The sequence below is a fragment of the Homo sapiens genome, chromosome 2 (genome assembly GCF_000001405.40).
Source record: "Homo sapiens chromosome 2, GRCh38.p14 Primary Assembly".
Lineage (NCBI taxonomy): Eukaryota > Metazoa > Chordata > Mammalia > Primates > Hominidae > Homo > Homo sapiens.
In genome coordinates, this window is record NC_000002.12 from 57,753,343 (window position 1) to 57,766,902 (window position 13,560).

The following is a 13,560-nucleotide window of genomic DNA, read 5'->3' on the forward strand; positions in this document are numbered from 1 at the left end:
AATACAATATCCACATGCAGATCTAACTGTCACTTCTACCTCCTAACCTCTCTGATAAGTCAAGAATCTTCTCTACTTGAGCACCACCAGACCCAGAAAGAGGTGCTTACAGAGTCCAGCCAATTCAACCATTTCTGTTAAATGGTTGGGAGTTCATTTACTTTCAAATGTAAAGCAAAAAAGATTATTTGAAACGAATTCAGCTTAAGTAAACCTGTGGCCAAATGTATTATACAGTTAAAGTTCTATAATTAATCACAGCCATATCTTCTATCACAAAAAGTAAAAATTATACAAATATGAGTATTATGTTAGATATTTGTAATATAATATCAATATTGTATATAATATTAAATATATTATAGTATTGCCTATCATATATATTAAATATTATAATATGCAAAAGAATATATTCTTTAAAAGATTTGCAAATATTTAGCTAGACTAGGAGGGCCTACACGTGCAGGAAGGTCCTTCATGTCCAGTTAGTACTGACTCATCATTATATTCTCATTTTCCTCATTTGTTCTGAAGGTTAAACTAGTGAAAACCACTTTAAATAGGGGTTTATGAAGAGTATTGCCCATGTGGCTAAGGGTACAGCCTTCTGAGGCCAAAACTTGGATGAGTGAATTTCAAGTGGCCAGAGGGTCATTTTTCTCCAGTTGTTTAGATGGCCCTGAAAGTCAAAGCCAGAGAAACAAAGGAAACTAGAAGACCTGGATGCAGGAGAGGAAAAACCTCGGATGGATGAAGGAAATGTAAAAGTCTCCAACTGCTTGTAAGTGACTACTGGGGTGGCAGCCTGGTTTAGAGAGTGCATGAAACAGTTGGGGCATGTTCTGCGCTCTAAACAGAAAATCTCTTTCTTCTCCCTCGAAAAAAATTAAATAATATTCTAAGATCCTTTGCAATTCATGCCTTTTGGGAAACTAAATGGGGATACATATATTTTGGTTTTTTTTTCATGTACTTTTTGGTGTTGAATGCAGTCAGGCTGCAAACATTTCACTAGATTTAATATTTTTAAAAAATTTCAAAGTGAACAAGAATTTTGACATTGCATATAATATCCAAAATGTTCAGGAAATTATAAATCAGGATGTAGAAATTATCATACGTACTAGCATTATATAAATGATAAAATATTATAGAACCAATATATGAACACAATGCAGAATATGTGTGGAGATGTTTTATTTCTTTCTTTTTTCTGCCCAAGGCAAAGCTGGGTACCACTGTCAGTGCCCTTCTCTATAGTTTAAAAAAAAAAAATTACACTTCTCAACAGTACAGCAAAAAAGAGTGTGCATTCATCTGGAAAATCCTCAGGCCTGGACAGAAGAATCCCAATTGCTATTCAAACCCTTACGATAATCTAATCTAGAGAGAGATTTTTCTTAATGAATAAAAATGGCTTCAAATGACTATAAACCTATGTTAAATTAGCACCCTATTAACTTAATACAAATACCATCTTAAGCCAACTGAAATTAAATGATCCCTAAAAAAGATGATTTTGAGACTTACCAGTCTTTATCTAACTAAAAATAATTTTTATTTCAAGTGATAGATAAATGTCATTTAACTTATTATCTAACAATCAAACTTCAAGCAACCTGACCTAGCTAAAATAATACTTCAAATATAGAAATTCATTTTTTAAAAAAATCCCTAAATGACAAATTGCAAGAAAGAAAGAAAGAAAGAAAGAAAGAAAGAAAGAAAGAAAGAAGGAAAGAAAGAAAGAAGGAAAGAAGGAAAGAAAGAAAGAAAGAAAGAAAGAAAGAAAGAAAGAAAGAAAGAAAGAGAAAGAAAGAAAGAAAGAAAGAAAGAAAGAAAGAAAGAAAGAAAGAAAGAAAGAAAGAAAGAAGGAAAGAAAGAAAAAGCAAGCAAGCCAGCAAGCCCTTACGATCTTGTTCTGCTCAGATAACCTGAGGCCCCCCCATACAGCTGGCTGGGAAATAAAGCCAGAGGGTAAAACGTCAGAACTGGGAGACACTGCAGGTGCCACCATCAGGAAAAGACAAAAAACTATGCAAATCAAGCAAAGCTATAAAAGCAAAGGCCTTTAGCATTATTTGTGTAGAAATAAACTGTCCATGAATTTAAATCAAAACTATTTATAACACTTTGAGTGTTAGAGCATAAGAAGATGAACTTTAGGAAGTTAAGAGAGTGATTCCCAAATTCAGCGTGCATCAGAATCACCTGGAGGACTTGTTGAAACACAGAATGCTGAGCTCCGCCTCAAGTTTCTGATTCAGTAGTTCAGGGGTAAGGGCCAAGAATTTGCATTTCTACCAGGTGCTCATGTAATGCTGATGCTACTTTTCCAGGAACTGCTCTTTGAGAATCTTCTAGTAGGATACAAAACTTCATTCTTTAATGAAGAATCCGAAAAACTGAGAGGCAAACAAAGGGACTCACTCAAAATGAGACAAGGTAAGACAATGTTAGATCCTATATGGACCTATTACACAAAGCCTCATCCTAAAGTGTCCTGTGGTGAGATACTATTCTCACTGTTATTTCAAACCCAGCTTCTTACATGGATAACTAAATTCCCTCGGAACCCATTTTTCTAAGCATGTAGAGCCTTCCTAAAATCAGAAATTCACTTGTGACTTTGTAATGCATTGGCATTATTATCCAACTCAATCTGAGTTGTGGTAGCAACTTGTAAGTATATATACCTTGCTCTATGAACGAGTTGATAAGCTATGACTTCCTTAAAAAACTATCTTTGTTTGTGGGATTGTTTTCAGTGTGTGTGTGTGTGTGTGTGTGTGTGTGTGTGTGTGTGTGTGTTTCTGGCTGTACTTAGTTTAGTACATCAAACCACATTTAAAATGTACAAAGGGACTTCTATTTAAAGGAAACATACAGAAAATCTTTTTCTAATGTGAATGACTATTGCACACAAATTGATCTCTCTGATAAGGTGTCTTTTTATGTACCAGTTTTGGCAAAAAGCAAACTTGTCAACACATTGCTCTAACAATTTTAGATTCGGAAAATTGCTTTTACCTTTTTATGTCTCTCTTGGGGTAATTCTCCTACTTCAAGTTAGCCTCATAAGTAAAATTTTCACATGTGTTACTTTTAATTTCTTTTCATCCTTGAGAAAATGAAAGTATCAAGAGATTCTTGCTTTACAGTGAAGGGCTTGTTTGAAACTCCAATGCTCCAAGCAATGCCCTAAGTAGGTCAAATTTCCAAGCTGTAATTTCAGCAGACAAATTTGCCTGATTCCCCAAGACAATAAAAGAAGATACTTAATTCAAAAGCATTCAGCTGTCCAATCTTGACCTTCAGGGTCTTTGTGGTCTGGCTTAACTTAATCCAGTAGCCTATGACAACTAAACGTTAGCTTCAGCAGGGATATTCATTCCAAAATTCCAAACTGTACTTACATATTTCTCTATTCTGAATATCCTCTATCTTCCTATGTACATTCTATCCACTCATCTTCAAGTCCTACTCTACAAGGCTTTCTTCAAACACTCCACCTCCCAACACTCTCCATTTTCTAAATTCCTCATAAATTTATTTTCTATAAGGCTCAAATGGAAACTTAAGATCAAATTTAAGATCACATACTGTCTTGTGAAGGAATTTAACTATTTCACATGTCTGCTTTTATCCTTAACTATGGAATCAGTTTTTAGATATTATGAAATAGCTTATCCAGCACTGGTTTCAACAGCAATTACTTAACACATATGTCTTGAATATTATATGAACAAGTATTCATTTAGTGCCTATTACTATGTGTCTGGACACATATATTATAGTCCTCATATCCAGTCCAGTCAACCCCTGAATGAGCACCCTGAAGCGGTTCCCTTCAGAAACTTCCATATTTCTGGAGATTGCTTCACCTCAACAAGCAAGATATATATGGGTTATTTCTTTGCCACAACAGAAGGTAAACAAAGTACTAACACCTTGTATCTCTGCTCTTATTATTCATTGGCCTTTTCTTGGAGATAATTTCCATCCATGTTTCCACTGAAAATATTTTGTGCACCAAATAATTGAAAGTGTCTATGGTGATATGACAGTGGGTTCCAATATTATAAAGTGGGCATTATATCTCTTCATAAACAGTGTTAAATGTGATGTCTACTTTGATAAGACATCCACAATGAACATTACCCAGCATGATGGTTAAGAGTCTGGGCTGTGGAATCAGAGATCCAGATTTGAAGAACTACTGCCCTTTACTGATGGTTTGATTTAGGACTAGTTACAAATCTATCCTTGGATGCCAACTAAACATGGGATCAGAATGACCAGTATATAAAGCAGCTTTAAAGAATCAATGTATTGATACCACATAGCTACCATCAATCAATCAATCCCTGCAAAGCACTTAGCAATATGTGGTACAAAATGATCAATTAATAAGTGGTGGTTATAATTCTTTTTAAAGAGATTTTTAGCCCAACAAAGTATAGCTCACACATATGGACTGCTGAAGCACACATACACACACACACACACACACACACACACACAAGTAAGAAAAGTAGCTAAATCCAGAGAGCTGTCTGGAAACATTGAGTTCTTAATCACAAGCTGCTGAGTTGCCCAGTCTTAGAGACAACCAGAAATCCTTTTGTTGGTTTTTAAAAGACAAAATAGCCCTATGAGAGATACGGAGAGGGTGCATTCTCCTGCAGAGTGGGCTGCTGAGTAAAGATGGCATCCATGATTGGCTTAAAGTATATCTCCTACAGGACTCATAGCGACAGCTTTCATTTTCTTCTATCTTTCCTTTTAATTCTTTTCCTTGCCTGATTTGCTCTTTCTCCCTCTAGCACTAGCCCTAATCAATGCAGCAGGTCAGGTTGAAAGAATGGACAGCTTCTGCGCCACATACATTTAAGCCATTTTAATGCAAATATTGATCGTAGGAGCATAGACACAGGCCGGGCTGCATTTTTTTAATGGACATGCTTTTTTTCTGGGGCTGTGCTACCCATGATAAAATACATCACCATAGATCAGTATTCCACCATCTTTCTATGCATAGGAATGCATAAGCAAATCCAAAAGGTGGGCCAGATTCAATGCCAAGCTTGTGAGCCTCCAAAGCAGGTACTTCAGTAGTCTACTGGACCACATTTGTTTAACCACTTACACTTCCCTCCTCCTGCTTTCTAGATGAGTTATTTTGGTGCGCACAGAGACAGACTATCAGAATGGATGTGGTACCTTAGGTCACAAGAATAGTTGTACCACAACAAGGTCTGCTATGCTAAGACACTTAATTGCTGTGTACACAAGATTATCAAAGCATTGTATCTGAGAACCACTGTCCGAAACATATTTAGCAACAGAATCTAAGTCTGACTTGAAATTCAAAAGGAGAGATCAAGGACAGGAAGAAATTCTAAGGGCCACTTTGAAATGTGATACTAAAAAGATTTGCTATCCCATCTGTAGGCATTTTTAGGCTGGACTGGAGAGGGAAAAAAAAGAAAAAGAAAAAGAAAACCTGTTTGCACTAAGAAAATTTTCTTGGCCTATTGCCAAGAAAGGAAGTATCACAAACTGGGCACAAATTAACCTAAAACCAAAGAAAGGAGGAAGAAAATAAGTGGACTCAACAGCCTCAAATCACACCAGTTGCTTCAGAGCAATACCGTTGCTTTCAGATGTTTCTCCTTCGATTCTTTTCATAGGGTCTGTGGTTGTTGTTGCTTATTATAACTCTAAAGCCAAATATACTATTACATTTAGTGAGATGTCTGTGGAGATGGAAATGAGACCATCACGATTCTCACTATCATATGCAGTCGTTTTTTACTTCTTTTCCAGAGATCTGCTGGCCCCCACATCTTTATGCAAAGGGGTAAATGCCATCATAAAGAGGGACAAGCAAGATGTGTACACCAGGTGCACAGAATGTTCTCTGTGGGCGGATCAGCCTAAAAGGTGGAGATAACTGGAGGTGAAGAGGAAGCTGAGTGGTATGCAAAGTGGGAGGGAGGCTAGACAGAATGAAGCCTTTGACCTTGGAAGAGCTGCGTACTAGTGAAGTAGAGGGAGGGGGAGGGAGAACGGAATGAGGAATTCCTTGCTGTAATATATTCGGGTAAAAATGGGGCTGTCATCTTGAGCTACAAGTTAGAAAGTTATTACTTTTAATATGCCACTACCTTAGGCCTATACTGTTATGTAAAAGAAAAATAACCTTGTGTGACAGTTTAACATTGATCGATGTGCCTGCCAAATGCAAAGAGATAAATAAGCAGGTGATGAATAAACAGCACTTCAAGTAAAGACATTACGCTGCATGCATAAAACGGCGCCAGGCACCTAGGAGCTGTGGGTGGCCGAAGGTTGGCCATTTCATGCCCACTCAGTAAAGCAGACTTAATCGCTTCCAATATTTTCTGTTAAAAAGCACGCTTAATGAGCCAATTTCACAAGCCCAGAGAAACTGATTATTATCTCTGAGTTCCAAGAGAGTTGGTTGTTTTCCAAGAGCCAGGTTTTTTTTTTTTTTCCTTGATGGGATAAAAAACCTTTTTTAGAAAGAGAGAGAGGGGCGTAGGAGAGAGAGCAAGAGAGAAAGGGAGAGAGGGGGAGTGAGGGAACGACCGAGCCAGCAAGAGGGCACTGAGAGCCAGCTGGCAGGGGAGAGATGGCCACTAGATGGCAGTGTTACCCCGCCGTCGGCACCCGGCCCGGGCTGGGAACTGGACAGGACCATTTGGCGGAAACGTGGCATGGTGAATAACGCTGAGAGCTGTGCCTCGAGAGTTCAGACCCGACCCTCCGCCCTCCTCGGGCCTTTTGTCCACAATTTTTCCATCCTCCAGCCCATACAAGGCGAGGAGACAAAAGGGGCAGTCCCCGAATGGCCTCCCTCTGAGAGCCCAGGGCTCTGATTCTTCTATGCAGCCTTCTTTCACAAAGTACAGGGGTCCCTTCGTCCGATTAGACTGAGTTCTTCCTGAATTTTTTTCTTTTTCTTCTTTTTCTTTTTATTTTTTTACCCTGGGAGGCTTGCAATCTCTGCATCCCTCACAGGACTAAGCATCTGCTTCTGAAGGCATGGAAAATTCCAACAGGATAAACCTATCTCGTTTTTCACCATGTATTTACTTTAGGGCAGGTTATTTTCTTCTTGCCTCTTATTTTGCACACTTTTTTTTTTCACTTTCAGTAAAAAGTGTGAACAAAAGGAATTTACCCCCATAGGAAAAGATTGGGAGTAGGGAAAGGGAGAGAGCACCCCTTAGGAAGCCAGCTGTCCTTCAAAGAGTTTCATTATGTATCTTCCTCCAGCTACACCGCAATGTGGTGAACGCCACAGAAACACAGGGTTATTGTCACCAACTGCAGTTATTCAATTGCCACTAGGAGAGAGGACCCAGCAAGGAGACCTCAGCATATAATTAACTCGGATATTTTTTAAAAATTGAAATGAACTGTTGTTAGGTTCTAAATTGAGATGCAAGTTAATTATTTATGAATATTCATAGAAAACTTGAACAATTTCCAAACTTGGCCTTTAGTTTCTCATCAGTTAACCAAATAGTTGATGTGTATTTTTTCTGTAAGATAATTTTCTCTTAATGTGCACTGGAACTACCAACTTCATTAAGATTTTTGAGATTCATTTTGCCTTGTGATGAATCAAAAGGGAATGGACTTAGTAACAGAGAAAATAAAATGTTCATCTCTTATCTTTTACTTATACATAAGAGAAGAATGAAATGACACTCAGCAAAAATTAGTCAGTTATGGTAACAAAAAAAACTGGCATATTTGAGGAACATTCAGAAGAAGCAGATCAATGTTCTGTATGTGTATAGGGGGAAAAGGAGGAAGGGTAGGGAGTGTTTGGGGAGTGGAAGGTGGCCATAGATATGAAACCACCGAAAGAAGGAAGGTACCCAACTCCCAGGAACTTATTCCAGGTAATCATGTACCTGTGATGGGTTCAGGATATGCTTCTCCCAAATATGGCACCTTGGCATTTGAAAAACAAGAAGCAGGACAGTCGCCCTTACTTTCTTCTCACCTTTCTCCCTTAGAGCAGGTCATAAAGCCTAGGAAGGTTGCTCTCTAACCTTCTCCCACACTTCTCTGAAGCAGAGCATAAGAACCTAATTCCAAAAGTATCCTCCCTTGATCTGGAGGAAAGGAACATTCTTATTCCTGGAGACAGAGGGACACAAAGAAGGATCAGAGCAAACAGGCCTTGCTAAGCTCCCCCCAGTTTATTGCCATTAGATCACATTCCCTTCGTCTTTGCATACTTCCTCATAACTGTTCACTCTTCATCAAACCTAAGCATACAAATTTACAAGTTTACCTGTTTCTCTGGGCATTTTCCTTATGAAGGCTCCCATGTCACACAAAACTTATATTAAGCAAGTTTGTATGCTTGTATCTCATTAATCAATCTTTGGTGTAGAAGCCTCAGCCATGAAAATAAGTTTCTTCTGCCCTAAAGTGGCCACTATTCTCACTCACTCAGAACAGAAAGCTCCTGTATGTCCACAAGTTCTAGTGGACTGGGGCCCAGTCCACTCTACACATTTACACCTCTTCCATGCCCCTGCCACAAAGCCAGCTACTGAACTGGAAAAACTCATCTCTGCTGAAATAGTAACCAACCGCCACACTGGATTTTCAATTGACTGCAGCACTTCATCCCTAAAGAACAGCCAGCTATTCATTAGGGCCTCTCAAAAGGAAAGTTAAAATTAAGGACACACTGGATACCTCAGTTACGTCTGCCATTAAAGACAAAATGCAGCAAAACAAAATACTAGGATTAAAAGGACATTTCACGGATGCAATTAACTGACAAAAAACCATCCCATTACATGCCAGGGACTGCACTGGACACTGCAGGCAGAGTGCTAAGGATCATGTGTTGCCCTCAAGTATCTCACTGGCTGGTGGCTTTCACATGGCAATAGAACAGAGAAGCACATGGTGCCCAGAAGCTTGTCCCCACCCTGACCTGTGGGAGGTCCTGAAGGCTCTTATTTATTTATTTTATTATTATTATTTTTTGAGATGGATTCTCACTCTGTCACCCAGGCTGGAGTGCAGTGGCATGATCTCGGCTCGCTGCAACCTCCACCTCCCAGGTTCAAGCAATTCTCCTGCCTCGGCCTCCCAAGTAGCTGGGACTATAGGCGCATGCCACCACGCACAACTCATTTTTTGTGTTTCAGTAGAAACGGGGTTTCACCATGTTGCCCAGGTTGGTCATGAACTCCTGAGCTCAGGCAGTCCGCCCGCCTCGGCCTCCCAAAGTGCTGGGATTATAGGCGTAAGCCACCACGCCCTACCCCTGAAGTCTTTTTGAATTCGGAGAAAATTGGGGGAGGGTAACTTAGTGTCCTAGGGCTGCCTTTAAAAATCACCACATACTGGTTGGCTTTAAACAAAAACAATTTATTATTTCACAGTTCTGGAGGTTGTATGTCTGAAATCAAAGTGTTGGCAGAGTTGGCTCTTTCTCCAGGCTCTGAGAGAATCTACCGCACGCGTCTCTCCTAGCTTCTGGTAGTTGCTGGTGATCCTTGGCATTCCTCAGCTTGTGCATACCTTACTCCAGTCTCTGCATCTGCCTTCACTTGGCCTTCTCCCCTGTGTGTCAGGGTCTCTGTGTCTCTTTTCCTTTTCTTATAAGGCACCAGTGATACTGCATTTAGGGCCCACCCTAATCCAGCATGATTTCCTATTAACTAATTACAGCTGCAAAGTGTTCAATGAATGACTGGATAAACTGTGAGACCTATATATGTATGAATGTAAACACACACATGCATATACACAATGGAATATTATTTAGCCTTTAAAAAGAAAAGGATGCCATTTGCAACAACATCGATGAACCTGGAGGACATTACGCTAAGTGAAATAATTCAAACACAGAAAGACAAATACTACATGATATCACATGTGGAATTTTTTTTTAAGTTGAGTACATAGAAACAGAGAGAAGAACAGAATGGGTGGTTACCAGAAGCAAAGAGCAAGAAGAAAGTGGGAGAAGTAGCTCAAAGGGTACAAAGTTGCAATGATGTCGGAGAAGTCTAGAGATCTAATGGATAGGATAAGGACTAGAGTTAATAATCTTGTATTTCGTGCTGTAAACTTGCTAAGAGAGATTTTAGGTAGTTTACCTTACACACACAAAAAAGGAATTATTTGAGGTGATGGATATGTTCATTTGCTTGACTGTGATAATCATTCCACTATGTGTATCAAAATATCCTGTTGCACTCCTTAAATATGTGCAATTTTAAAAAGACTTACTTCCTAATGAGGTAACATTCTGAGGTGCCTAATATACATGAATTCGGGAAAGACACTTATTAACCCAGTTTAGGGACATTTCAAGCAAGGATACCAGATGACTGAAAATATCCTAAGAACTTCAGGTGGTTCCTTGCAGTTACAGGGTAATATGCAAGGGAAATGAGGAGAAAGAGTTGGAAAGAGGCTAAAACAAATCAAAAAGTTCCTCTTGTTAGGTATTAAAGACTTCAGATTTTCCACTGAAAGGTGGTAAGAAAAAAATAAGTGGGTTTTAAGCAGGTAAGTGTTAGAAACACCACTACCACTCTGGCAGGAGTATAGATATTTGGAAAGAAGGGAAATTAGAAGCAAAGATACCAGTTAGAACACTTTTGCAGTAATGCAAGCAAGATAAGACTTTATAATAACATAGGCCTGTGAGGATGAAACGAGGAAATACATTTGAATTTTAAAAACAAAATTGTAATTGACAGAATTTGAGTGGATAACATTAACAAAACACGTGTTGTTGAAGAATGAACATGATGAAAGCTGATGAGATTCCCAGACTTGACCCAGAAATCTGGCCTGAGCAACAAGGTTGATCATCATGTCATTAAGGAAAGTTGGTAATCCATTTTTAACAGGAAGCTAACTTGAATATATTGGAAATTGGTGTGTGTGTATATGTGTGTAAGTTGTGTAAGATTTTGTATAAGAGAGGCTGGGACAGAAATGCAGTTTTGGAGGAAGAAGCCTCAAATTAGATTGAGCTCCCTGAAAAGGTGAGAGTAGCTGTCCAAGATGGAAGAGAGAGCTGGAAGAAGCAGGAGATGGATCTCAGTGCCAGCACTGAAGAGAATTCACAATGGGACTGAGAAATTCAAGGAGGGAATGCAAGGGAAATCTTCACACAGCGACTGAGGCCCCCTCTCCTGACACTTGGCTGTAAAGGGCAATGGAGGCACAGGGCTGGTTGTATTGGGAATATTGGGGGAAAAAAAGAAGGACGCTGTTGAAGAATAGGATGATGTTTTTGTTTCTTTGTTTAAAACGAGAGTGAGTTAATCCTTTTTATGTTACAGATATGAAAAGCCTTCATAGAGGAAGAGGATGAAGGGGCAGCATAAAGAAGGAATAGTCAAGAATGTAAGAGAAGGAAATCAAGAACAGGAGTTGAGCCTTTCTCTATGCCTCTAAAACAAGCCCAGCAGTGGGGCCCTGGTTATCTATCTAAAAGTTGTTGGAAGGAAAGCATAAGATAATGATGTGGCTCACTCGCTGCAAATGGTCTACCCTCCACCTCCCAGCTCCTCCATTGATCTCACTGAAAGAAAAGATTGCTGGCTCGTCAATGATAGTGGCTCTGGCATGTGCAAAGCTGGCTTTGCTGGGGAAGACACCCCCTGAGCCATGTTTCTCTCCATCGTCAGGTGCCCCTGGCACCACAGTGTGATAGTGGGCATGGGCAAGAAGGACTCCTACATGGGTGACAAGACCCAGAGCAAGCCAGATGCTGACCCTGAAGTACCCCATCCAGCACTGCATGGACACCAACTGGGGCAACATGGAGAAGATCTAGTACCATACCTTCTACAACAAGCTGCGCATGGCCCTGGAGGAGCACCCTGTGCTGCTGAGGCCTCCCTGAACCCCAAGGCCAATAGAAAGAAGATGACTCAGATCATGTTTGAGACCTTCAATACCCTGGCCATGCATGTGGGCATCCAAGCTGTAATGTCCCTCTATGTCTCTGAGTGCACCACTGGTATTGTCATGCATTCTGGAGATAGGGTCACCCACACAGTGCCCATCTATGAGGGCTACACCCTTCCCTAGCCATCCTGTGTCTGGACCAGGCTGGCCGGGACCTGTCCAACAATTTCATAAAGATCCTTACGGAGCACAGCTACAGCTTCACCAAAACAGTCGAGAGGGAGATCGTGCGTGACATCAAGAGAAGCTATGGTATGTTACCCTGGACTTTGAGCAGGAGATGGCCACCACTGCATCCTCCTCCTGGAGAAGAGCTACCAACTGTCCAATAGCCAGATGATCACCATTAGCAATGAGTGGTTCTGACGTCTGGAGGCGCTGTTCCAGTTCTGAAGATTATGCTAACTTAATAAAATAAAAATAACCTAATAACTCCACCATGAAGTATGATGTGGGCATCCACAAGGACCTGTACACCAACATGGTGCTGTCCAATGGCACCACCACATACCCAGGCATCATGGGCAGGTTGCGTAAGGAGATCGCCACCCTGGTACCCAGCACCAAGAAGATCACCTCCCTGCTGAGTGCAAGTACTTGGTGTGCATCTGCGGCTCCATCCTGGCCTCGCTGTCTACTTTCCAGTAGATGTGGATTAGGAAGCAGGAGTACCATGAGTCAGTCCCCTCCATCATCCACTGCAAATGCTTCTAAATGGACTGCAGGCAGTTGCTTGTAGCATTTGCTGCATGGGTTAATTCAGAAGTATAAATTTGCCCCTGGCACATGTATACACCTCATGCTAGCCTCATGAAACTGTAATAAGCCTTTGAAAACAAATTTGTCCTTGAAGCTTGTATCTGATAGCAAGACTGGACTGTAGAACTTGTTGCTGATTTTAACCTTGTATTCAGGTTAACTATTCCCTAGTCATTTGTTTAATACACTGTACATACCTTTGATTTCAACCTTTAGTACATGTGGCTGGGTCAGTTCATGGCTGAGGAAAGAACATGCTTGTGAGAGACAAGTCCATGGCGTGGTGAGCCCGAGTAGCCAGTAGTCTCCGATCTGCAGAGGGTATTAAAGTGTCATGGCTGAGTGTCATGGGATTTCTCCAGAGGCTGGCAAGGGCTCCTGAACCAGTTGTCATTTCTATCTTGCCGGTCTCTTAGGGTTGGAAAAGTCCAAGCTGTAGGATCCCGCTTCCTTTCTTACCTGATGTTTTCCTGCCAGAACACCATGGACTGTTACTTGCCTTGAGTTGGAAGCAGTTTGCACTTACACCTGTAAATTTATTCATCCTTTAAATTTATGTGAGGGTTTTTTGTACACAATTCTCGATTCTTTAAGACATGATAACAGACTTTGGTTTTCTACTGTTATGTGAGAACATGAGGCCCCAGCAACACATCATTGTGTAAGAAAAAATGAAAGTGCTGCCATAACCAGAAAAAAAAGATAATGATGTGAAACCACTTCGAAAAGTGGTTTCAAATATATTGGAATATTGAAAATGCAGTTACTATTAAAAAAATGATGTTTTCAGTGATGTGCTGT

General features: G+C 40.3%; 1 pseudogene, besides 2 other annotated features; it reads left to right on the forward strand.

Annotated features, from left to right (window-relative positions):
• Nucleotides 6,552-6,846: an enhancer, noted in NCBI's record as "tiled region #12008; HepG2 Activating DNase unmatched - State 4:PromP, and K562 Activating DNase matched - State 4:PromP". NCBI's record gives its function as "activates a minimal TATA promoter and a strong SV40 promoter by Sharpr-MPRA in HepG2 and K562 cells {active_cell/tissue: HepG2 | K562}" and the evidence as "EXISTENCE:reporter gene assay evidence [ECO:0000049][PMID:27701403]".
• Nucleotides 8,118-8,318: a silencer, noted in NCBI's record as "peak3706 fragment used in MPRA reporter construct". NCBI's record gives its function as "represses an SCP1 promoter by STARR-seq MPRAs in K562 erythroleukemia cells {active_cell/tissue: K562}" and the evidence as "EXISTENCE:reporter gene assay evidence [ECO:0000049][PMID:32103011]".
• On the forward strand, nt 11,612-12,711 carry ACTG1P22 (actin gamma 1 pseudogene 22; annotated as a pseudogene).